We start from the raw sequence: 26,481 nt of genomic DNA, 5'->3' as shown, positions 1-26,481 counted from the left end.
GTACAGATGGCCAGGGCGTGCTGTGCATGTTACTGTGCAAGCAATTCAGCAGGGCTGCTGCAAAACCAGCTTTCTCAGCTCTGGGTGCTCGGGCTTGTCTCCATAACAAGCTACCATGTAACAAACGGATCTCAGCAGGGTGAACAACAGTTGCAGAAAGTGAGCTGTTTCCTTCACCCCCACCCTGCTCCCTTCACTCTCAAAAGTTACAAACTGAGTTTCCTTCCTGATAAACTCCAAGGCTTCCTCACTGATTGGTCTCAGTTTGGGAAAGGACGTGACATCAGCAACTTCGCAGACTTAGGGCTGGAGGGTTCTTGTGGCCTCTGGCGGGCCTCCAGCCAGTTAGGTAAAACGTGTGTGTGTGTGTGTGTGTGTGTGTGTGTACACGAGCGCATGCCTCTCTCTGATCACAGGTAGCACTCAGATTACCCTGCCTGCTCTGTGCTTTGCTGCAGACCATTTGACCAGAACGTGTGCAGCTCAGCCAGCCACAGAACTGGAATTTTTCAGGAGCAGGGGGAGCATGGAGTTTGGACTTTGCTGAGCAACTGAAGTGGAGCGCAGAGCTTGCTCGCTTAGGAGAGAGCATCATGGATGGCAAACAAGGGGGCATGGATGGGAGCAAGCCCGCGGGGCCAAGGGACTTTCCTGGCATCAGGCTTCTTTCAAACCCATTGATGGGCGGTGAGTCATAGGGGCAGTGGAATCAGCCCTGGGGAGGTTGGCTAATGTGCTTAGGAGAGGAGGGTTGGGCAGTTTCAGTGGCTCTGTGTGAGGTGTCCATGGGGCTGTTACTGGGCAGATGTCCACAGCTCACTGGTATATATTCTTTACACAGCTGTTCAAAAATGTGTATACTTCTTTCTGCAGAATCCTACAGACAAGACAAATTCAATTGTCACAAATTATTCTCCAGTGAAAATTTCAGCTCCCAGGAATCATTCTTTGTGGGTCAAATGCATTATTTATTAAATTGGAGGTTTGAAAGTTACTTATAAATAGGAAAATTTTTAATGCTAAAACTTTTTAATTTGTAAGTCTTAGGTGTTTGGCATTTAGGTGGGGCAGGGTTTATAAAGATGTTCAAACATTGAGCACTGATTGAGTCACTTTCAAAAGAGACAAAAGAGACTTTGTTTTACTTAAAACATTGGAGAATCATCTTACAGGTATTGTTCTCATCTGTCAAGTGGTGTCTGTGCTAATGTACAGAATCCCACAAATACACACTTCGGTGAGCATTCAGCAGGTGCCTGTTGGCTGAAAGGATTCTGAAAAATGGGTTTAGGCATTTGCACACAGGTTCTTATAAATAATAGTATATTGGTTAGTAATATACTGGTTAACTCTCCAGCCCCAAGTCTGCAAACTTGCTGATGTCACGTCCTTTCCCAAACTGAGACCAATCAGTGAGGAAACCTTGGAGTTTATCGGGAAGGAAACTCAAAGTTCGTAACTTTCGGAGAGCAAAGGGAGCAGCAGGGTGAGGGTGAAGGCAACAGCTCACTTTCTGCAACTGTTGTTCACCCTGTTGAGATCCTTGGGGGCTTGTGACGGAGACAAGCCCCAGCACCCAGAGCTGGGAAAGCTGGTGTTGCAGCAGCCCTGCTGAATTGCTGTATTTATTATTTATTAATTTTTTTTTCTTTTTGAGACGGAGTCTTGCTCTGTGGCCCAGGCTGGAGTGCAGTGGCGCGATCTCGACTCACTGCAACCTCCGCCTCCCGGGTTCAGGCCTGTATATATAGGCGGGGCACGGTGGTTTACGCCTGTAATCCCAGTACTTTCGGAGGCCGAGGCGGGCAGATCACGATGTCAGGATACCATCCTGGCCAACATGATGAAATTCCGTCGCTACCTAAAATACAAAAATTAGCTGGGTGTGATGGCACGTGCCTGTAATCCCAGCTACTCGGGAGGCTGAGGCAGGAGAATCACTTGAACCCGGGAGGCGGAGGTTGCAGTGCACCTAGATCTCGCCACAGCACTCCAGCCTGGCGACAGAGTGAGACTCCGTATCAAAGAAAAAAGAAAAAAATATATACCTGGTATACTGTCCACAGCACCTGTTGATCAAAGGGGCAATAAACAGGGACCCTGAAGTCAGGGTGTTTTGTTTTGTTTTGTTTTTTTGAGACGGAGTCTCATTCTGTCGCCTGGGCTGGAGTGCAATGGCGAGATCTCCGCTCACTGCAACCTCTGCCTCCCGGGTTCAAGAGATTCTCCTGCCTCAGCCTCCCGAGTAGCTGGGATTATAAGCGCCCGCCACCACACCCGGCTAATTTTTGTATTTTTAGTAGAGACGGGGTTTCACCACGTTGGCCAGGCTGGTCTAGAACTCCTGACCTCAGGTGATCTGCCCGCCTGGGCCTCCCAAAGTGCTGGGATTACAGGTGTGAGCCACCACGCCCGGCCGTCAGTCAGGGTTTATTAATCTACTATACAGGTACCAAAAAGGTAAAAATGGAAGAAATAAAACACAAAACGTCTTCCCTTTGACTGAGTAGACTAGCCTGCTCATTCATTCATTCATTTATCCAATTTCACTTATAAAATGAGCAGAGTACTCAATGGTGAGTGGGATTTAGATCCACAAAGGCAGAACTGGATTAATCAGCAGATGTATTGAGCATGAGTTTGGAGAACTAGGAAAGCAAGAGTGGCATCAAAAATCACTTTTCACAAAGAATTTCTTTTTTTTTTTTTTTTTTTGTTTTTTTTGAAGTGGAGTTTCACTCTGTCACCCAGGCTGGAATGCAGTGGAGCAATCTCAGCTCACTGCAAACTCCACCTTCCCGTGTTCAAGCGACTTTCCTGCCTCAGCCTCCTGAGTAGCTGGGATTACAGGCGTCCGCCACCACACCCAGCTGATTTTTGTATTTTTAGTAGAGACGGGGTTTCACCATGTTAGCCAGGATGGTCTCAATCTCCTGACCTCGTGATCCGCCCGCCTTGGCCTCCCAAAGTGCTGGGATTACAGGCGTGAGCCACCACGCCCGGCCACTTTTTACAAGGAATTATATATATAATTATATATATATATATATTTTTTTTTTAGATGGAGTCTCGCTCTGTTACCAGGCTGGAGTGCAGTGGCACCATCTCGGCTCACTGCAACCTCGGCCTCCTGGGTTCAAGCAATTCTGCCTCAGGAGGGAGAGGCAGGGACTAGGTGGGACTACAGGCACACGCCTGGCTAATTTTTTGGGGTGTTTTTTTTTTGTATTTTAGTAGAGACGGGGTTTCACCATGTTGCCCCAGGCTGGTCTCCAACTCCTGAGCTCAGGGAAGTCTGCCCGCCTCGGCCTCCCAAAGTGCTAGGATTACAGGTGTGAGCCACTGTGCCCGGCCGATAAATATATTTTTAAAACAGCAAACCAATCATTATGGGAAAGAATCGGTAATTTGGTTGACTTCTGCACGGTTATTTTATAGCTAAGTATTGTATTTATTTTTGTTTCCACATGGGAGAGAGGCACCAGCCACTTTTCACTGTTAGGGTTTCTTTTTCTTTTTTTTTTTTTTTTTTGAGATGGAGTCTCGCTCTGTCGCCCAGGCTGGAGTGCAGTGGCACAATCTTGGCTCACTGCAAGCTCCGCCTCCCGGGTTCACGCCATTCTCCTGCCTCAGCCTCCTGAGTAGCTGGGACTACAGGCGCCCGCCACCACGCCCGGCTAATTTTTTGTATTTTTAGTAGAGACGGGGTTTCACCATGTTAGCCAGGATGGTCTCAATCTCCTGACCTCGTGATCCACCCACCTTGGCCTCCCAAAGTGCTGGGATTACAGGCGTGAGCCAACTGTTCAGGATTTCTAAAGTTCCTAATACAACCCTGGTGGGGTCAGGGTGGGTGAGTGGGAGTGGGCAGGTGTTATACGCAAAGGCATGGTGCTTGTAAAGTCAACAAGTTTTTACAGCTAGAGTGCAAAATGTGAATGTCTTAGGGAGTCTAGTGAGAACAAGTTTGAAGAGATGGAGTGGCAGATAAAGCTTGAAGAGCTAAGTGGAGGAGGTCAGGCTTCATGAGGCAGGAAATTGAGAGCCATTGGTGGTTCTAGAACAGAGACCTGGTAATAAGGCTGTAGGTCAATTAACATGGTAGCCACAGCTGGGATAGATTGTGTTGGAATCGTGGGAGATGGTTGCATTCATCCAGTGGTTCTCAAATTCTCATGTGCCTCTACATCACCTGGAGAGCTTATTGAAATACAGATAATGCAGCTTCTGGCTGGGCACGGTGGCTCACGCCTGTAATCCCAGCACTTTGGGAGGCTGAGGTGGGCGGATCACTTGAGGTCAGGAGTTCCAGACCAGCCTATCCAACATGGTGAAACCCCATCTCTACTAAAAATACAAACATTTGACTGGGTGCAGTGCCTCACACCTGTAATCCCAGCACTTTGGGAGGCCGAGGCAGGCGGATCACCTGAGGTTGGGAGTTCCAGACCAGCCTGACCAACATGGAGAAACCCAGTCTTTACTAAAAATACAAAATTAGCCGGGCATGGTGGTGCATGCCTGTAATCCCAGCTACCCGGGAGGCTGAGGCAGGAAAGTCGCTTGAACCCGGGAGGCAGAGGTTGTGGTGAGCCGAGATCACACCACTGCACTCCAACCTGGGCAACAAGAGTGAAACTCTGTCTCAAAAAAAAAAAAAAAAATTAGCTGGGTGTGTTGGCACATGCCTGTAGTCCCAGCTACTTAGGAGGCCGAGGCAGGAGAATTGCTTGAACTTGGGAGGGCGGAGGTTGCAGTGAGCTGAGATCATGCCACTGTACTCCAGCCTGGGCAACAGAGCGAGACTCTGTCTCAAAAAAAAAAAATGCAGATGATGCAGCTTTTGATGAAGTCGTAGGCCTGGGGTGGGGGCCTAGGAATCTGCATTCATAACAAACTCCCAGGTGAAATGGATGGTACTGGTCAGGGACCATACTTTGAAAACTACTGCACTAATCCAACCATGAAACTTACATTTGGATCGAACTTTGGAAATGACAGAGAAAGGGCGATGATTTCAAAGGAAAGATAAATCAGCGTATGTTGCTTGATTAAATGTTGGAACTAACAGAAGGCAGGCAAAATTATAAGGTTCTCAAGCCCAAAGTAATGTCAGATAAGCTAGATAAGAGGGAAGTTGGAAAGGAAGTTGCCTTGGATGCAGGATGAGGAGGGGAGGATACAGAGTTCTGTTTTGGACATGATAGTGCTAACAATGATGCCCAGTGCACAGTATGATGACATGGGACTGAGACTTAGGAACGATCACAGGTTAGAAGCCAGATACCTCAGAATGTCCTACAGAGGGGCTGTGGTTGAAACCTAGGGAAGGGAGAAATTGTCCAATGGCTAAGAGCTGAGAGTCAACCAAGGATGGAACCCTGGGACAGGCCTCCAGTTGATGAAGTAGGACCAGTAAGTTGGACAGAGAAGCAGAAAGAGATTCTGGATGTTGTAATTACACAGGTGCTAAGGGAAGAGAAGTTTTCAAAGAAGTAGAAGTCACAAGGGTAGGTGCCTGGATACTTCTGGTTTCTTACCTCCTGTTGTGAATCTGACTGGCAAATTGCTACTCACCTTCTACACCCAGCTGAGCCATTGCCCCCATGAAGCCCTCCTAGACTTTCCACCTCTCCCTACTCAAGTGGAGTCATTCTCCGTCTGCTTTGCATCAGTCCTGCCCCTTGGGTAAAACCTCAATTGTAGTTGGTTGCTTTTGTTTATGCTTCTGAGGTCTTAACCTTGGTGAAGTGTGGAATGGGGAACACTCAGAATGCTGTTTTCAAATAGCTGTGCCAAGAAACTCAGCTCAGGTGAAGCTTGTCCCTTTGCACAAGGCCAAGTTAGAGGGGAAAATAGGGCCCAGGTGTGGATCATCTTGCTGCTCCCACCTCCACCTGCAGGCGTTTTTCTGCCCACTTCCCTGGGGGTAGGGAGGGAGGAAAGGCTATAAAAATGGGCAACCAACTCTTTATAGAGATTTGTTTCATGTTAGACTCTCCTGTCCAAGGAGCAGGGAAAGAATGTCTTAATTTTTTCCTGAAAGTAGCTTGTTACGAGTTAAATTGTGTACCCTGAAAATATATATGGTTAAGTTCTTAACCCCCGTGCCTCAGAATGTGACCTTATTAGTTAAGATTAGTTCAGGTGAGGTCGTAAGTAGGGTAGGATGGACCTTAATCCAACATGACCAGAGTCCCTATAAGAAAAGGAGAAGGAGACACATGGAGAATGCTATGTGACAACAGAGGCAGAGATAGGAGTGACACATCTAGAAACCAAGGAACACCAAGGACTGATGGCCACTGCCAGAAGCTAGAAGAGGCAAGGAAGGATTTTTCCCTAGAGCCTTTGGATAGAGTATGGCCCTGTCCACACCTTGATTTCAGACTTCTAGCCAACTGCTAGCCTCTAGGACTCGGCGACAACAAATTTCTGTTGTTTTAAGCCACCCAGTTTGTGGTGTTTCGTTATGGTATCCCTAGGAGGCTAATTTATACCTACTCATAGAAACTTAGGAAAATACATTGAAGGATAAACTAACCACCCATAATTCCACCAAGCAGGTAATCACTGTTCCCAGTGTTAGTGTCTATCTTTTGGGGTTTTGCCTGAAGACTGACAACTGTAGAGATATTTCTATCCTTGCAAAATTGAGCCCACCCTGTAGAGAGTATTCACATTTAAACAGAAGACAAGCTAGAACAGGTATTGAAAGAAAACAATTTTATTGTCTTATGGTGAATTTTTAGATATTGGGGCACCTCAGGAGGGGTGAGTTTTCTGGGGGAAAACCTGCCTGTTGAGACAGAATGGGTGATAATGTGAGGGCCCTTTGGAGAAGGCAGCTTTATATTGAGAGAGAGAGAGAGAGAGAGAAGAGAGAGGGAGACAGGAAAGAGAAGAGAGAGAAGAGAGAGAAGAAAGAGGAGAGGAGAGGCTGGATGATGGAACTGGAGAAAGAACTGCAGTGGACAGGCCTGACTTGCCCAAGAGTTGCCTCAGTGGGCCTTTCTGTTTGTTTCTGACTGTAAGCCTCTTGTTTCTTTTTCTCCTCTTTCTGTTTGTCCTGGGATCAAACCAAGGTCCACAATAATTGTGAATACAGCACCCAGATACTTTCCAGGTTCTGGCAGGTTGGTTCATGCCACTGAATCCACCCTTATTGTGTCCTGAAGACTGAAGGCAAATACTCCTGTCCCCTCAGAGCAACCCGACTTCTTTTTTGTCTCCTTGACTTTGCAAAACGTTTCTCAGGATGAGTAGATTTATGCTACCGCCCAGCATTCACTGGGGTTCTCAGAACATCAGTAATAGCTATTTTCAGCATGTAGCAATTAGTGCATCTTAAATCTCTTTTGAAATAATGGAAATGAAAAAAATGTTCCACAAATTACAATAAAAATGAAATGGCAGCCTCCCTAATGTGCTCCAGGTTTGATGAGGGTACAATTTAAAAGAAAGATAAGTTCTTGCTAATACACACACACATACACACAATCTATGCTCTCTGAATGTTAGAAAAATGTTAAACTAGGCCAGGCGCAGTGGCTCATGCCTATAATCCCAGCACTTTGGGAGGCTGAGGCGCATGGATCACTTGAGGTCAGGAGTTGGAGACCAGCCTGGCCAACATGGTGAAATCCTGTCTCTACTAAAGTTACAAAAATTAACTGAGTGTGATGGTGTGCACCTGTAGTCCCAGTTACTTGAGAGGCTGAGGCAGGAGAACCACTTGAACCCAGGAGGTGGAGGTTGCAGTGAGCCAAGATTGCCCCACTGTACTCCAGCCTGGGTGACAGAATGAGACTCCGTCTCAAAAAACCAACAGAACATTACACACAAAGAAAAATGTTAAATTATTAATTGTCACTACTGTAAATTTTCACATAATCACTCATTTGTTCTGATACCTGCTGAGGTCAAAGTCCTTGTATAAATTTGAGATGGATTTTAGTTTTACAGGGACTCACGTTTTTCTTCTGGGCAGGAGCATAGGCATACTGTGACAGGCTTAACAAACCCTGAACTGAAATGACTTTATGTTAGAAGGGGAAGCCTCATATCCTGCTGATGGGAACATACAGTAGGGCAGCCACTTTGGAAAACAGTCTCAAAATAAACATTGTGTTACCATATCATACAGCAATTCTTTTAGGTGCATATTCAGGAGAATTGAAAACATATATCTGCTCAAAAACTTGTATATGAATGTTTATAGCAGCATTATTCATAATAGGCAAGAAGTAGAAATGACACAAATTTTTATCAGCTGATGAATGAATACATAAAATGTGGCTTATCCATACAATGGAATTATTTGGCCAAAAAAAAAAAAAAAAGGAATGAAGTACTGATGCACGCTACAACATGGATGAAACTTTGAAACATGCTAAATAAAAGAAGCCAGTTGCAAAGTACCACATACTGTATGGTTTCATTTATATGAAATGTCCAGAATAGGCAAATCCATAGAGACAGAAAGTAGATCCATGGCTGCCAGGGGCTGAGGGAAGTAGAACTGTGGAGTGACTGCTAATGGGCACAGAGTTTCTTTTTGGGGTGATGAAAATGTTCTAAAATTGATTGTGGTGTTGGTTGCATAGCTCTGAATATACTGAAAACTGCTGAATTGTACACATTAAATGGGTGTATTGTATGGTATGTGAATTATATCTCAATACAGCTGCTTGCTAGCTAGCTAGCTAGAGATATTCACATTGTCAGCCCCTCACTACGTGTACCAGGACAACACTCTGTACTTCTCAAAGACACAAGCTGTCTCTGCTCTGTAAACACTACATTCTGCAGAGGTGCAAATTCAGATAGCCTTGTTATTCTCTTGGAGAAGTACGTACTTCTTTATTTGCCCCAAATAGAAAGAGTAATGGTCCCATGATGAATGAGCAGAAAGTAAGACCATTTGTGGCTACACTTGATAAATGCGTCATTTTTATGAAATCTGGACAGTTACAAATTAGGATGCAATCTACCTGCCTGGACTGTTTAGCCTGTCGACAATAATAATCTTAGGGAGCTCTAAGAGAGGTTGGGGAATGTGGCAGCTGTATTTCTTAGCAGCTGAGCACTTGGAAAAAAAAGTGGATTAATCATCATACATATGGTGATCCATCAAGATACATTTGCAAATCTATTGAAAACTGATTTTCAAAACCTTTCTCAATTTGTGGCTCTTTGTTCTCATTCAAGATTTTGTGTGAATGGTATTTGGCATTATCAGCACCAACAGGGTGGAATTAGTTGTCCTTTTAATTCTAATTTGGAGATCAATCTTTCCATGTCTGCAGTCCGAATTTTAGCTTCCAAGCCCTAGAATCAGCAGTATTATTCCAGAAATAATTAGGAGCCTCAGAGAATGCCGTGAGGACATTGAGTATCTATTAAGCGTGAGGTTTTGACGGTACGAAAAGCCATTTCACTTAAGATGTACCTTGTCTCAAGCACCTTTAGTGACCCCAGAAGGAAAGCATTGGATGGGCGGTATGTAGATGGGCTCATTTGTCTTCCTTTTATGTACTAAATGCTTAATGAATCCATCTGGAAGAATGGTAATTTGCTTACTAATACAGATTTTCCAGGGCACTGATGGCTTCAGGTGGCAGACAGACGGGCCTCATGTGTTAAGTACAAAGTGTTAAGCCAACATGTGTTAAATACAAAGGATACTTCATAGCCTTTCAGTTTGCAAGGTATAGATAGTTAAGTATCCTCCTTCTCCAGGTCTTCTCAGTTTTTAGGAGCTATTAGCTTCCGTGCAAGGCATAACTGGCACCAGACCTTTCTACCTTGTTTGTATGTAGTGTGTTTGGCGAAGCAGGTGGAGCTGGAGCTGAAGCAGGTTCAGGCACGCCTCCCTCACATTTCTACTGGAAATCAGATGAAGCTTGAGATGAGAAAAAAATCAGATCTATGCCTCATTCAGTTATATTCAATTAAGAGAGAGGAAAGCATTTAATGGGTTGGGATTGGGTTTTCAGGCTTCTTTCCTAAGAATTTGTTTTCCTTCTATGTGGTTGTAGAATAAATTTGCTATTTTATTTTATTTTTTTGAGACAGAGTCTCACTGTGTCACCCAGGCTGGAGTGCAGTGGCATGATCTCGGCTCACTGCAACCTCCGCCTCCCGGGTTCAACCGATTCTCCCGCCTCAGCCTCCCGACTAGCTGGGATTATAGGCGTGAGCCACCACACCCAGCTAATTTTTACATTTTTACTAGAGATGGTGTTTCACCATGTTGCAAGGCTGGTCTCGAACTCCTGACCTCAGGTGATCTGCCCACCTCGGCCTCTCAAAGTGCTGGGATTGCAGGTGTGAGCCACCACGCCTGGTGTAAATTTGCTATTTTAAATAGCAATGATGATGAGGTATAATTAAGACTCTCTGTTTAGTGTTAGGGCAGGATAATAATAGTAGCTAGTATGTGTTGAGCCATGGTAAGTACAGGTTGAGCATCCCGTCTCTGAAATCCTTGGGACCAGAAGTGTTTCCAGTTTTTTCAGATGTTGGAATATTTGCATATACATAATGACTTATCTTGTGGATGGTACTCAAGTCTAAACACGAAATGCATTTATGTTTTATATACACCTTACACACATAACCTGAGATAATTTTATATAATATTTTAAATAAGTTTGTGCATGAAACAACGTTTTGACTGCAACCCATCACATGTCAGATGTGGAATTTTCCACTTGTGGCATCATGTTAGCACTCAAGAAGCTTTGGATTTTGGAGCATTTTGGATTTGGGAGTTTTGGGTTAAGGATGCTCAACCTGTATGTTATATATTAGGGCTGCTCAACTTGTAACTTTACAGAGAAGGAAACTGCGGCACTGGGCCTTTCCCGGGACCCACAGGTCAGAAAAGGTGAAGCGGGTCTGAATTAAGAGCTTTCTTTAACCACCTTGGCATGCTGCCTTTGAGGGTAAATAATGTCCCTGTTTCAAGGTGAGACTGAACACTGATTTGTGCTTAATATTAGGACAGGAGATAATCTATAAATAGATATGGTTCTGTTTAGATTTGATTCCAAACCTAATGGTGTATGTAATTACATGATTACTACTATTAATACAGAACACTGTTTGGTGAGATGCCAAAGTCTGTATTTCATGCAGGAAACTAGACTGACAGCTACAGCTTAACACACTAATGTTGGTAATTAGTGAAGCTCTCGCTTAACTAAATGGGCCATTTGCCTTTGAAACCAGTGTGTAAATAGAAATAGAGTAATCTGTCATCCCAATCCACCTCTTTTGTCCTTAGTTTGAGGACTGGCTGTAGTTCTTTCCCAAGCTATCCAGACATTTCAAACAAACTGTGCACAAAAAATATTAATAAAGAAGAGAAATGCTGAATTCCTGATGGGAATTTTGGTTGAGTGAATCCAATGTCTCCCTCCATCCAGGGCCTGTTAGGCTCTTATTGATGGGCAAGGATAAGCCTCTGGGTCTAAGTGCATTAGCAGGATATAACCCATTCCCCTCTTTCCATACAGATGCTGTGTCTGATTGGTCTCCTATGCATGAAGCTGCAATCCACGGACATCAGCTGTCTCTGAGGAACCTCATCAGCCAGGTAGCTTTTTGAAAATACAATACAGAAGAAACCTATCAAAATATTAAAACAAATGTGTGACATAATAACATAGGGACTTTTAAATTAATTCATTAAATAGAAGACCTAGTGGTGATTCTAGTAACTACCATAACGTCTAAATAGGATGAGTATAGATTTTGAGATATTTTAGATGTCTACAGCAATTGTAATACAATAGAAAATATCTGTAATTTCTATTGGAGATAACCCTACATAATACTATTACTACTGTGGTTTGTTGTCTACATTCTGAACTGAAGGAAATGCTAAATTTCAGATAGAGCTGAGTGAGAATAAATGTGCTTTAAAAAATCCAATTTCATAGACCTATCTAGAGTAAGAAGTCCTCCTATAAGAAAATAATTTCTAAAGAAAAATTTCATACTATCCTAAGCCACTATCTTAAGCCATTTTTGGTAGCAGCAGTCTATTATAAATAGATTATAACACTAATTCTAGCTAAAAGAAGTTAGGCTACTTCTCAGATAAAATTAGAAATTTACCCTATTTTGATAGCATGAAAAATGATCACTGCAGCTTTTATATATCACTTCTTAAATTGGACAGATACTCATTTACATTCAGTATTTATGTGTTTATGAAACATCAGCCAGAACCATATCTCCAAGTTCTATCACATTATTTGTGTAAGATGTCTTTTTAGAGCCCCGGTTTCTGCTTTCATAAAATGAGTATTCTAATACCTACCTAGGTCAGTCCACCCCATAACTCAATAACAAACCATCCCAAAACTCAGTGACATGATACAGTAACCATTATTTCTTGCTGATGTGTGTTTGTGTCAGTTCATCTAGGCTGGGCTTGGCTGGGCTTGGCTCCCAGCTGTGGGTTGGGTGTAGCCCTGCTGCACATCTCTTTCATCCTGCTTGGACCACTGGCTACCTGAGGAATTATTTTTTCTTGGCAAAACGCTGGAGCACAGCAGGACAAGCCCCACCATGCAAGAATACTTCCAATCTGTTCATGTCACATCTGCTAACATCCCACTGGTCAAGTCACATGACCACATCCAAAGTCAAGGCTCAAGAGAAGTACATTTTGTCAACTAAGCGTAGTTGACGACTGAAAATAGATATATTAAAGTTAAGCCATTCAATCTTTTTTTAAAAACTAAGAACTGACTGTGGACTGAACACTGTGAAGTAATGGGTTAATTACCTTATGATTTTATATGACTCAGACTTGTTAATAATTTAGACAAATCACAGTTAATTTAAGGTAGAACTGTAGCTTGATGATGAACTACAAATGAGTTTCTAACTTTACAGAAGGAACCTCTCTGCAATGTGAATATGTGGTGAAAACTTTTTGTGTTACGAATAGCTGTGTTGTTGTATTTCATTTACGTGGATTTATGTATAAACACCTAAATGCTGGTTTTATTTTTATCATTATTATTATTATTATTATTATTTTTTTGAGATGGAGTTTCACTCTTGTTGCCATCTGGAGTGCAGTGGCGCGATCTCGGCTCACTGCAACCTCCGCCTCCTGGGTTGAAGCAATTCTGCCTCAGCCTCCCGAGTAGCTGGGACTACAGGCATGTGCCACCACGCCCCGCTAATTTTATATTTTTAGTAGAGACGAGGTTTCACCATGTTGGTCAGGCTGGTCTCAAACTGCTGACCTCAGATAATCCATCAGCCTTAGCCTCCCAAAGTGCTGGGATTATAGGCATGAGCCACCGTGCCTGGTCTAAATGCCGGTTTTACAATGGCAGTTGTGCCTGGAGGAGTATGCACATTTTCCTATTGGTTGTTTTTATGGTTGCCTTTTGCCCAAGTTCTGTACCTCGGCCTGCCTTCCCCCAACTTGTGTCTGATACACTTGCATGATTTTTGCTTCATGTGACAATCATACCCCTCTTGTGGCATTGACAAAGCTACTTTCTATAAGTGTGATGACTGTGAGAAAATAAGATATTTTCTCCTGCCAATTGGACATTTAAGTCTTAGGTATGAATAGTAAAGTAAGAAATGACATATTCTTTTCTTTGATCACGACAAAAGTTGGCACATTTTTTTCTTTCTTTTTTTTTTTTTTTTTTTGAGACGGAGTCTTGCTGTCGCCCAGGCTGGAGTGCAGTGGCGCCATCTCGGCTCACTGCAGGCTCCGCCCCCTGGGGTTCACGCCATTCTCCTGCCTCAGCCTCCCGAGTAGCTGGGACTACAGGTGTCCCCCACCTCGCCCGGCTAATTTTTTGTATTTTTAGTAGAGATGGGGTTTCACCGTGTTAGCCAGGATGGTCTCGATCTCCTGACCTCGTGATCCGCCTGCCTCGGCCTCCCAAAGTGCTGGGATTACAGGCGTGAGCCACTGCACCCGGCCAAGAGTTGGCAAATTTTTTTCAGTAAAGGACCAGATAGTAAATATTTTAGGCTGGGAGGCTGAGGCAGGAGAGTGGCGTGAACCCAGGAGGTGGAGCTTGCAGTGACCCGAGATCGCGCCACTGCACTCCAGCCTCGGCGACAGAGCAAGACATCGTCTCAAAAAAAAAAAAAAAAAAAAAAAAGAATCTTAGGCCTTGCGAACCATGCAGTCTCTGTTGGAAGTACCTAACTCTGCTGTTTAGCAGAAAAGCAGTTGTAGACAATATGTAAATGAATGGGCATGGCTGTGTTCTGATAAAACTTTGCTTATGGATGCTGAAATTTGAATTTCATAAAATTTTCACGTGTCACAAAATATTCCTTTGATTTCTTTTAAACCATTAAAAATGTAGAAACCATTCCTAGCTACAGAAGCAGGTGTAGGCTAGATTTGACTCTGTAGGCTACTGTTTGTTGACCCCCTTGTCAAAACTATGATAGAGCTAGGAAATCTAAGAAAAACAATTAAATGTCAGGAAAAGGAGGGTTTTTTTGAGAAAAAAAATTGGGTGAAACTGATATTTTTATTACAAATATTATTAAATCCTGTGTGTTACTAAATACTTATGTTTAAAGAGCAATTATATTAGTTAATAGGTACATTTCAATTTCCTAAAATAAGAAAGTACATTTAGGCTTCCTAAAAGGTACATGCAGCAGTCTATTTCTTTTCCCTCGCAGTTTGAAAATTTCCTTTTAATTGTCTCACAAGGTAGAGCCACTTGTGAATATGTTAAAACTTAATAATTGCTTGTTAAAACTTAGCAATTTGGGCCACGCTGACTTTAAAAAAATTGAGAAATTTCATAAGCATGAAAGAACTTAAACACGTGTGCAGTTGAATAAAAAGTGATGATGATGAGAATATTGCCATGTGACTGCCTCCCCAGGTCAGGAAATGGAAAAATAGCACAATGCTGGCTCCTCCAAAGACTCACCCATCCCTCCCCTTATTGTGCTTTCTAGAACACAATCCTGTCCCTCTTCCACAGGAGTAACCATTATCCCGATTTCCTTGTTTTCTTTATGGTTTTACTCTATATATTATGTCTTCTGAAACAATATGGGGTAGTTTTGCCTAATTTTGAACTTTAAATTGATGTAATCATTCAGTGTGTATGCTTTTGGATTTTGCTTCTTTTGCTCAACATTATTTTTGCAAGCATCACCCTTGTAGTGCTTGCCATTATGATTTGTTGGGTGTAATCTTTCTGCTGAAAGATTATACCAAAGTTAATTAATTCAGTCCATTGTTGATGGACATTTGGTTTGTTTGCAGTTTTTGACTATTATGACCAATGCTGTTGTGAATATTCTTGTATATTTATCTAGATGTATATATACCTAAGAGTCAAATTGCTGAGTCATAGGCATATGCATTGTCAGCTCTAATAGATACAGTCAAACTGTTTTCCTGAGTGGTTATACCATACCACACTCCCACCAGTAGTGTGGCATTTTTTTTTTTTTAAAGTCAATATAAACACCTTAGTGTAACATCTGACTTTGAGCCAGGTCAGCTTTGTCATAGTACTGGAATGGTGGCTGAAAAGCAGCCCCAGGGCACTGTTGCTTTGCACCCCTTACTCTGACTGTTTCCCCTCCTTCAGGGGTGGGCTGTGAACATCATCACGGCAGATCATGTTTCCCCACTCCATGAAGCCTGTCTTGGAGGTCATCTCTCTTGTGTGAAGATTTTATTAAAGCATGGAGCTCAGGTAAGGGCAGCTGAAACAACATCTTAGAAACCAAGAATGAAAAATGACTATGTATATCCCTTCTGAATAACTTCCAGCACTTTTGATTAGACTGATTTGAAATATGAAGACAGTTGTTTTTCAAGAAAATTATGTTCATCAGGCTTGTTTGCTTTAGTGATGGATGGATGAAATACTAAATTTTTAGTCACGCTTACAGTCTATATCATTTTCTTTATCATACACTACTAATAAATAGTTATTAGACTTCTGTCTTCATTGTTATGGCCGGAAGGTAATGAAATATTGTGGAAAGCACACATTTGCCTGGGATGGCTAGGATGTCTGAGGAGACAGAAAATCTATGTGGTCATTCATCCTTTAGCTGGCAACCTGGACTTGTTCACATGGTAGCAGGGATTGCAAGAGCAGCAAAAATGGACCTGTTTTGTGTTAGGCAACTGAATGGTGGGTTGGGGAAAATTATGGGCTTGCTATCTTCTGGCAACAGCAAATGCAAAGTCCCAGAAATGATAGTGAGCAATTTTTATATCTTGAAGTCATTCCTTACGGCAGGACAGTAGAGTAGGTGAGAGGGTTCAGAACATAAGCAACCTTGTCCATGCCAAAAAAAGAATGGGCTTTGTCCTGAGATCAGTAAAGAGCCAGAGGTGAGTGCACTGCCAGATTTATATTTGGGTTAAGAAAACATTCAAAACTTGGAAACAGGGAACGTGTCAAGGTGAAGCAAGAGACACCTAGGGTACAAACTTGAAAGAAGTGCTCGCTCTCAGGGTCCTGCACTATTTGTGTGACTCCAAAAATGAATATGTCCTTAAATTTTTTACCCTGGGCAACTTTTATGTCTCACTCTGGTCCTGGCCCTGCTTGGAAGTAGAGTTTGAGAAGGAATTCGTTGTCTTCACAATATCATTGCTTAAAAGATTCACCAGATAATCATTTAATGATATACAAGAATGTGTCTGCACTTGGCTTTTCTATTCACTATTTAATTATAGCCCAAACACTGTGAAGTTAGACATTAACTTCGAAATTTCTGTCTGATTTCCAACATTAGAAAAGATAGCCTCAAAGATTATACTTTTATGGCCCTATAGGACATTAACCAGTTTTTATGTTTTTATTTTTTTAATTTTTGAGATGGAGTCTCGCTCTGTCGCCCAGGCTGGAGTACAGTGGCACGAACTCAGCTCCCTGCAACCTCCGCCTCCTGGGTTCGAGTGATACTCCTGCCTCAGCCTCCTGAGTAGCTGGGATTATAGGCACGCACCACCACACTTGGCTCATTTTTGTATTTTTAGTAGAGATGGGGTTTCATCATGTTATCATGTTGCCCAGGTTGGTCTCGAACTTCCGACCTCAGGTGACCCGCCCACCTTGGTCTCCCAAAGTGCTGGGATTACAGGTGTGAGCCACCGTGCCCGGCGGAGTTTTGTATCTATTAGCAAATATATTTCAGCAGTCCATTGACTATATACGTTTTTCTTTTTTCTTTCTTTTTTTGAGACAGAGTCTCACTCTGTCGCCCAGGCTGGAGTGCAGTGGCGTGATCTCGGTTCACTGCAACCTCTGCCTCCCGGGTTCAAGTAATTCTCCTGCCTCAGCCTCCCGAGTAGCTGGGACTACAGGCGCATGCTACCATGCTGGGCTAATTTTTTGTATCTTAGTAGAGACCGGGTTTCACCATGTTGCCCAGGCTGGTCTCGAACTCCTGAGCTCAGGCAATCCGCCTGCCTCGGCCTCCCAAAGTGCTGGGATTATAGGCGTGAGCCACTGCGCCTGGCCAAATGTTTTTTTGAGCCAGCCTTACCATCTTACTGGTTCCCTCATTAATGAGTGAGTTGAATAAAATCTTGGGTATGTGTTAATTCTATATTTGTATGAAAGTCAAGTTTTTTAAAGTTTTCTAAATTATACTTTAAGAATATACTAAATTACACAGCTAATAATTTCAACAATTTCCTCACAGCAGCAAGAGTAATCTTCTTGCACCCGTTAAGAAATTGAATTGGTGTGGGATGGGTCTAGGAAAGAAGTTTAAAATAGGGATTAGTTTGTAAGCGATTGAAATTATCCTAACTAGTTTCAAAGTTCATGTTCCTGGGGAGGGCATGGAGGAGATAGAACATTGAGTAACATTTTCGATGCTTTATAGCCACTCCCTAATTCCATTTTTCACAAAAACCTGTGGAATTTCGTAGTTATTTCTCCATTTTATAGCTGAGGAATTTAAGGCTCAGAGATGTTAAATAACATCTTCAGAGTGGTGGACCCCACATTTGAACCCAAAACATCCCCCTTCCTGTCTTCATTCTGGAGCTTCTTTTACCAGGTGAATGGTGTGACAGCAGACTGGCACACTCCACTGTTTAATGCTTGTGTCAGCGGCAGCTGGGATTGTGTGAATTTGCTTCTGCAGCACGGAGCCAGCGTTCAACCTGAGAGTGATCTGGCATCCCCCATCCATGAAGCTGCTAGGAGAGGTAAATCTGTTGAGAATTTTTTTTTCTACCCACTCCTTCAAGGGACATCTTACTGCTGAAAGAAAGAAAGAAAAGGAGATATATTTTAGAGCAGTAGTTCTCAAAATGGAGTCCCAGGACTGGAAGCATCAGCATGACCTGGCCTGCAAATGCAGATTCTTCGGCCTCACTCCAGCCCCATTGAATCAGTAACTGGGGATGGGGCTCAGCCCTCTGTATTTTGTTTAATAAGCCCTCCAGCTGCTTTCTGGTACACAGTAAGTTTGAGTGCCTCCCTTTTAGAGCATTTTGAATGTTTTTCACTGCTGTATTACTGAAACAGGGCTTGGCACATAGTAGACTATCCATCAATATTTGTGGAATCCGTTGTTATACCCGTGACCTTATAGAAATCAAGTTATTTCATAAAACAAATTATATTCTTCTATTTCAGGGCCTTAAAGAACATTGTCTCAGTGACACTTAAGTTTGCCAAATGAAATAAGCTTTCAATTTTTGAAAGTATTTGATGTTGCATACAGTTTGGGATAATTCTTTTCATTAAAGCCATAATTTTTCTGATAGTCTTAGCTCATAAAATCACAAGTTTTTATTTTCTCCAATATTTAGCATCATCGTAATGACCATACCTTGCCAGAGGGCTTTCTGTTTCTCCAGTGGCTTTCATAGAATGGCTTCCCATTTGACTGGACCAACCCACTCATAATGATCTCCCAAAGCATTAATATTATTTATTGAGAACATCTTAACTCATCATATTCGCTGCATACATAGAACTAAAATACAGCAAGAGAAACGTAGAGGAGCAATGTCAAAAATATGACATCCTGGACCAAGGAAGTGTGATTCAGCTTTCACCTAGTTTTTCAGATTGGGCCCTGCTCATGTTGGATTTGGCAGTTTCTTCTAAGCATTGCCTATACCCGCTGTGGCCTGTTCCTCCCGGGCCTGCCTTTGGAGAGGTTGTAAGTTTCCTTCCCTGTCCCGTGGCCCACACTGTGCCCTTTATTCTTCAGTTCCACCTTCAGGTCCTGTTCCTCCATATCTCTCCCAAGCTCTCACTTCAATTTCTGTACTTAGACAAACTACAAAGCCACAGACAATTGAAAAAGGTGGATAGTTGCTGGTTGGTTACCGTGGCTAGTAAACTCAAATGGAGTTTCACCCGTAGTTGCAGATTGCATCCTATGGTCAAACCATTAACTGATAGCAGTGGTTAAAATCACTCCTGATTTGGCCGGGCCTGGTCTCACGCCTGTAATCCCAGCATTTTGGGAGGCTGAGGCGGGCGGACCACGAGGTCAGGAGATTGAGACCATCCTGGCTAACACGGTGAAACCCCATCTCTACTAAAAATACAAAAAAGTTAGCAGGGTGTGGTGGCGGGCGCCTGTAGTACCAGCTACTCGGAGGCTGAGGCAGGAGAATGGCGTGAACCCAGGAGGCGGAGCTTGCAGTAAGCCGAGATTGCGCCACTGCACTCCAGCCTGGGGGACAGAGCGAGACTCCGTTTCTAAAATAAAATAAAATGAAATAAAATAAAATCACTCCTGATTCTAATTGAAGGAAATAGCTTTTTGGTCCCCTGGATAAGCTGCTGCCAAATTTAATGCAAAATGGGGATGGCAATGTCTTTCTAGCTAAGGGAACTTGTATTGTAACTGTTTTTCTTCCTGCTTTGGGCTGCAGGCCACGTGGAGTGTGTCAACTCTCTTATAGCTTATGGGGGCAACATTGACCATAAGATCAGCCACCTGGGCACTCCACTCTATTTGGCTTGTGAAAACCAACAGAGAGCCTGTGTCAAGAAGCTTCTGGAGTCAGGTAAAGCAAAAAGCAAACCAAAACAAGAAAAGAAAACGAAAAGTAAATTAAATGTATTTTAAACATCTTACTGCTGTAGGAGAGAAATTAGTGTGGGCAATGGAGTTGGACAAGGTCAGGGTTCATATTGACTGTGTTCCCTTGGGGAATTATTTCACACTGTTTGAACTGTAGTTCTCTCATTTGTAACAAGGATGAGGAGGAGGAGGAGGAGGAGGAGGATGATGATGATGATGATGCCTCTTCTCAGGGTGGTCCTCAATGATTATTAGTTTCTCCTCCCTTTCCTCTGTCTCCCTCCATTTGGCCAGTCACATTATTAAGCCCTGCATAACTTGCAAAGCTGTTGGATTAGTGTTGAATCTTCCTATTTGGGACCTTAACCAGTTCTCTTTGATTAGATATTGAACTTGCCCCATTGCAAATATTATATTTTCCTTGAAAAGGCCTATGTACCCTTATTTCTTTTCACCTCCCTGCTGTTGTCCAGCCCCCTTCTCAACACCTGGAACACCATTTCATCACCTCTTTAATTATCTGAGTCCTATTTATTCTTTAAGGCTTCAGTAATCTGTTTCCCAATGAATGTTGTTGCAGTCCTTATTGCCTCCTACTCATCTGGCAGGCATTGCTATGAATTAAGAGATGCAATCTCTGTCTCTCCCCCACTGCCCACCCCACCTCTGCCACTCTGGGCAGATTTTAAGCCTCTAGCCTGGAAAGGGCCATGTTTGATATCCCTCACAAAGTCAGGAACAATACAAGACCAGATCAGTTAACATTTGTTGAGTGGACATAGATTTTCATTTTACCAGAGGGATGGCAGCTCAGGCAAAGCCACATGTTCCCACATGTCACAGTGAAAGCTAGGCTCTGGGCTGGGGTGGGGATTTGTTAAGAGTGTAAGAGTGGAATTGGGTGGGGACAGTCCTAGAAATCCACCTTACTCCTGAAAGGGAGAACTTTGCCACCTTCCCTGTGATCTTGGGATTGGCCAGTCCAATCCAGGGGATACCCCCATGAGTTGGTTGGTTGCTTTTCAAAGTCCAAATCACCAGTCCCAAGTGTCCAGTTTTACACCCTGTGGCAGCTGCACACCAGGTGAGTTTGGCTGCTTGGTGTAGGCTGGATTTCACCATCTAGTCTCTCCGTCAGGCTGTACTGGCTAATACTTAGGTTCCATTAATAATAATGTGGAGCTTTTATGTCACTAGGATTTTTCTTATATGCATCATGCCTATCTATGTACAGTGCTGAAAGGCAAATTTTTAACTTTCTATGCTATATTCCTCATGCTGTACATTCAATAACATTATCAGGTGGGATTTTCCCCACATTATTAAATGGAATCACATCATCTCCCATTTTTCCAGGATTGCTGTGCTCAATATGGATCCCCTCTTGTTAGGAAATTTTGGGGCTCGGGGCTTTGAAAAGCCCCGATGGTTGGATTCTGCTCCTTGCTGACTCTTTTTTGTTCTCGTGACTGTTTAGGAGCGGACGTGAACCAAGGGAAAGGTCAGGATTCCCCACTTCATGCAGTGGCCAGGACAGCCAGTGAAGAGCTGGCCTGCCTGCTCATGGATTTTGGAGCGGACACCCAGGCCAAGAATGCTGAAGGCAAACGTCCTGTGGAGCTGGTGCCTCCAGAGAGCCCCTTGGCCCAGCTCTTCTTGGAGAGAGAAGGTGCTTCTTTGCCAAAACCTAAGCCCTAATCTGTTGACATCCCTTGGGGCTCTAGTAGAAGGCAGGTATTTGGCAATTTCTGGCTCCCATTCCTATAAAAAGATCATTCTCTGACATCACCAAATCTGGGAAGTTGAGATAATTCAATATTCAATGAGATACAGTACTGGTCACAGTACAGTAAATAACTGTCCTGCTATTTAGCATATTGGATACAGGTTTTTGGGATGATCTAATATTCATTATGGGGTAGGCCAGTTTTTTAAAAATTAAGATACTGTTTTAAAATTTTAGTATTACATTTATTTAAAACATGCTTTAGAATGAGGCAGCAGAGTCCTCTTTGGGGTTGTAAGAGGCCGCAGGATATCTTGTTGAACCACAGATGGGCCAGACTACTGGACACTTCGTTTCTGGGCTTAAAATGCAGCTGTTTAAGAGTTTAGGGTTCACACCAATCCAAAGATATTTACTATTATAAATTAACCAATGATAAGTCCACACTTCTCTATAAGTAAGAACTGAGACTCCCAACTCGAACAATGAAATATTGTGGTTGAGCAGTGTGTATGGAAGTAGGGCTTTGAGGCCTGGGCTGGGCTGGGGAACAAAGACACCTCAAGTTGGGGAGCCACCTCTTGCAATCTTCATGGGCTCAGAGGCAGTTGAGAAACCAGCTCAGTACTTCTTTTCTTACCGGAGTATGGACTCTGAAGTCTTAGGGATTCTGGGACTTTGAAGCAGGCCTTCCTACCAGAAGGATTCTGATGTTATACAATCTAGTTATTTTCTCCCCACATGATGAGCAGTAAGGTTGGCTTTGGGCAGAACTGTAAAGTGGGCTAAGGAATCCTTCTTCCTCCTACTCTCACTGCCCCAGGGTACTTGCAGTCAAGTCCCTGCCTGGGGGCATGCCAAACAAGGCCTATGCTCCTGAGCAGTGCTGGTCAGGCAGAAAAGATTGACTCCAGGCCTGGACAAGGAACAGTCCAGTAGAGGCCCCTTACAGTTAAGCAGTGGGATAATCATGGAGCAGTTCTATCTGCATTTTAATAATTACTTGTTTTGAAAAAGTTCTATGTCTACGAGGCCCATAAAAATATCTTAATTTTTAAACAATCAGAATAAAAAATGAATAGAACAACATGGATTGTAATCATCTTTATACCAACACAGTTGTGAAATAGAATTTTTAATTGTTTTCACTGAGAAAGGGATTCATAAAGGCAAAAGTGCCTCAGGTCCCCCTCAGTCATAACGTAGGGCATACGTTAATGTAGGATGTATATGTCCCCTCCTCCATCAAACAACCTCATAGCATTCTCAAATTGCCTCCCCTGGCTTTTCCCTTCTGCTTTATTTCCCAAAGCCATTCCTAGAGACAGTAATTACTTTAATTTTGAATTTACGTTTTGCACGGTGACAGTGTGGCCTATGGTCCCACTAGTTTATGAGGTGTCATTTGCTGCTGGAGAGAATCACTACTTGTTTTGCCTCCATGAGTCAATTTTGGGGTTTTGGTGTAGTCACCTCTCAGAGGGCTCGGAGCCCACAAGAAATGGGGTCAGGAAAGTGCAGAAAACTAGACCTGTGGATTGCTCACAGCAGTTTCTGTCTCTGGGTGCCCCTACATTCATTTGCTTCAGTCCACCTGTTTCTCCGTTTCCTGGGGAAGGGAATTTATTCAATTACTGTCCTCTTTCAATGGTATGGCAACAGGAGAATGTTGGTAAAACCCAACCATGTTCTGAATTGGGCTTTGCGTGGGTGTTAGGAAAGGTAAGATTTTCCCGTTTTCTGAGAAAAGGGAAAAGATTTTAAGAATATTGCCACCTCACCCTTGATAAGCATCTAAAGCAGTGTTTGCTCAATTAAAACCTAGAAATGACTGTCAGCCCAACATGACCGCAGCCCCCATCCCCCCTCACCCAGTGCACTTTGGCTTTAAAACATCAATGGTTGTTGCTGGCCGGGCACGGTGGCTCACGCCTGTAATCTCCACACTTTGGGAGGCCAAGGTGGGTGGATCATGAGTTCAGGAGATAGAGACCATCCTGGCTAACACGGTGAAACCCCGTCTCTTCTAAAAATACAAAAAAAATTAGCCGGGCGTGGTGGCAGGCACCTGTAGTCCCAGGTACTCGGGAGGCTGAGGCAGGAGAATGGTGTGAACCTGGGAAGTGGAGCTTGCAGTGAGCTGAGATCACACCACTGCACTCCAGCCTGGGCGACAGAGTGAGACTCAGTCTCAAAAAACAAAAAACAAAACATCAATGGTTGTTGCTGGGGGAAAAAAGAAATCAAGGCCCAAAGGAATATGCCAATTCATAAATACACAATTAGCTGGTTTTATTACCGAGCAAAGCAAACCCCTTGAATATTTGCAGGTGCCAGCAAGTGACTGCAAATCTGTAGTGGGTTTTCAGCTCTGTGTCTATGGACTTGAAGCTACAGTTGTTTTACATTGTCTTACTTGTAGTAAACAGCAGCATTCAGTTGGCATCAGTAGTTATTAATACACTGAGTTTCCTGTGACATCCCACTTTTCTTAATTCTCTATCAGGCCTGCTCTGAGATCTTGTTATTTGTAATGCTTTATCAGTACCTCCTACGGTTGCCTCTGACAGCGTTTCTAGCACAGATGATCAGTCACATGTTTCAACATTCCTTAGTGAGGTTAGATTAGGTTCAGTTTCCCCACAGTGTGCTTTTTGCTGCTCGTTAATATGTGCCTTGAGAACACTGGGAAGCCGTTCATTTTTAAATGCTTTGAGTATACTGGGCATCATCTCATAGGTGCCTTACTCCAACAGGGCCCTTCTGTTAGGGCCTGGTTTAAAATACTGCAAGTATTTTTTTGATTGTATATGTGTCGAGTTCCATCTCTCCTTGTTCTGCATCACCTTGAGAGATAAGTTAACTCGGTTGATCCTGTAGTTGGTGGTATTGCTATAGGAAAATAGAGACCACAGTATCCTTTTGGATGTATTCACAACCCTGACCGCACACTCAGATGACCTCGGGCACATGCCTTTAGAAAATCCAGATGCTTGGGCTTCACCCAACAATAACTGAAGCAACATCCCTGGTTGGGGGGACTCAGCGTCCATGTAGTTGAATGTACCCCCACCCCAGGTGAGTCTGAAGTGCTACCTGGATTGAGGGCTACGGCTTTATGGAGTTCTTGAGGGTATATAGTTTTGCTTTTTAAAAAATAACCAAAAGAAGATTCCCATTACAATTTGATGCAGGAACAGGGGTAGGGGGGCAGGGAAAATCATTCCCCATCCTTTTGCCCTATAACAGAGTTTCTCAACCTTGACGCTATTGACATTTTGAATCAGTTGGGGGCTGTCCTGTGTACTCTGGGATTTTTAGAAGCATCCTTGGCCTCTCCCATTAGATGCCAGTAGCACCCTTCCTCAAGTTTTGGCAACCAAAAATGTCTCCAGACACTGCCAAATGTCCCCTGAGGAGCAAAATGATCTCCTCCTCCTTTCCTTCCCTGAGCCTCCTCCCAGTTGTGAACCACTGTCCTAAAATGTAAACTGTTGGGTGTTCCCTAAGCAAGGTTTGTGCTAGCTAGTTCACTTTTCACTTATGAATTGAAGCATTGGAATAGCTCTGAATACAGGATGTAAAAACAAACACGACTTCACATACTCTTAGGATTCACTGTGAGCTCATTATTTTTGAGTACCTTAATTTGCTCAAGTTATAAAATAAAAATGTTTGCATCTAGAAATATGCCCTTATTTTTAAAGATAAAAGAACACCATTAAACATAAATTTTATTTGTATTATTGGAATTTTTGTATAGCTGTGTAATTCCCAAGTTAGCTTATTTAAGCCTCCATTAGTGAGGCTAAGCTTTAAATTTCTTTCACTCTGTTCTAAATTAAAAACCTAACAAGCTTATTTCAATTAGCTACCGGAAAAGAGAGAACATAGCCTAAAAATGCCTTCTACAAAAAAACCCCAGAAAATGGTCTTAAATAGTTCAATATTATTTCCTTATAACAATGTTCTATCTTGGATGCTTTTTTTTTTTAAAAAAAAGGAGTCTTAGATCAATAGCACCATTGTATGACTTGTCTTATGATCTTTCTCCAGGGCCCCCTTCTTTGATGCAGTTATGCCGCCTTAGAATTCGGAAGTGTTTTGGAATCCAGCAGCATCATAAGATAACCAAACTCGTCCTCCCAGAGGATCTGAAACAGTTTCTCCTACATCTTTAAATGCATCTAGGGAATGGATTCACAAACGATGTGAAAACATTATTGAGTGTTGTAGCCACTAGAATTTTAAAATCAAGTTGGATTTATAGAGTTTGACTAGTTTTTTCGATTAGATTTGTATTTGTTATAAACTTGTTTATGGAGTTTGACTAATTTTTTCTATTCAATTTGTATTTGTTAAACTCAAGCCAGGGTTGAAAGACACTGCATACGTTTGTATTATTAGTTAGAAGGCATGAAGACTTTTTTCCCTGCATGGAGAGTGTCATAAGTTATTGTTTTGCATATCTACTGCATGCCAAGCACTTTCTGCATCATCTAATTTAGCCCTCACAGCCACTGGGTCAAGATGTCCAATTTTCCAGAGTAAGGATAGAGGAGTCAAATTCAAATACAGGTTTTCTGACATTAACTTATGTGATGACTTGATCGAGGCAGGCTTTTCCAGCATCACTGTCCTGGTTCCATCTCTGCTATATGGGAATGAAAATAAAGAAACATATTTCTTGGCTTGTCTAA

At 42.8% G+C, this 26,481-nt stretch overlaps 1 protein-coding gene across 7 annotated transcripts; it reads left to right on the top strand.

Annotated features, from left to right (window-relative positions):
• On the top strand, positions 1 to 26,481 carry ASB9 (ankyrin repeat and SOCS box containing 9). 7 transcript variants are annotated; one of them, NM_001168531.2, is made up of 8 exons: positions 1 to 349; positions 459 to 687; positions 11,523 to 11,602; positions 15,624 to 15,731; positions 18,064 to 18,214; positions 19,904 to 20,038; positions 21,533 to 21,785; positions 25,838 to 26,481. In NM_001168531.2, exons 2-7 carry the CDS (start codon positions 594 to 596, stop codon positions 21,751 to 21,753), a joined length of 789 nt encoding a protein of 262 aa, NP_001162003.1. In that variant the 5' UTR covers positions 1 to 349; positions 459 to 593; the 3' UTR covers positions 21,754 to 21,785; positions 25,838 to 26,481. The 7 variants fall into 7 exon arrangements, with proteins under 7 accessions (NP_001162003.1, XP_016884773.1, XP_016884772.1 ...); XM_017029284.2 differs by lacking the exon at positions 459 to 687 and having other exon boundaries at positions 18,151 to 18,214; positions 21,533 to 21,724; XM_017029283.2 differs by lacking the exon at positions 459 to 687 and having other exon boundaries at positions 21,533 to 21,724.

The sequence above is a fragment of the Homo sapiens genome, chromosome X (genome assembly GCF_000001405.40).
Source record: "Homo sapiens chromosome X, GRCh38.p14 Primary Assembly".
Classification (NCBI taxonomy): Eukaryota; Metazoa; Chordata; class Mammalia; order Primates; family Hominidae; genus Homo; species Homo sapiens.
This window is presented reverse-complemented; position numbering and strand designations above follow the sequence as displayed.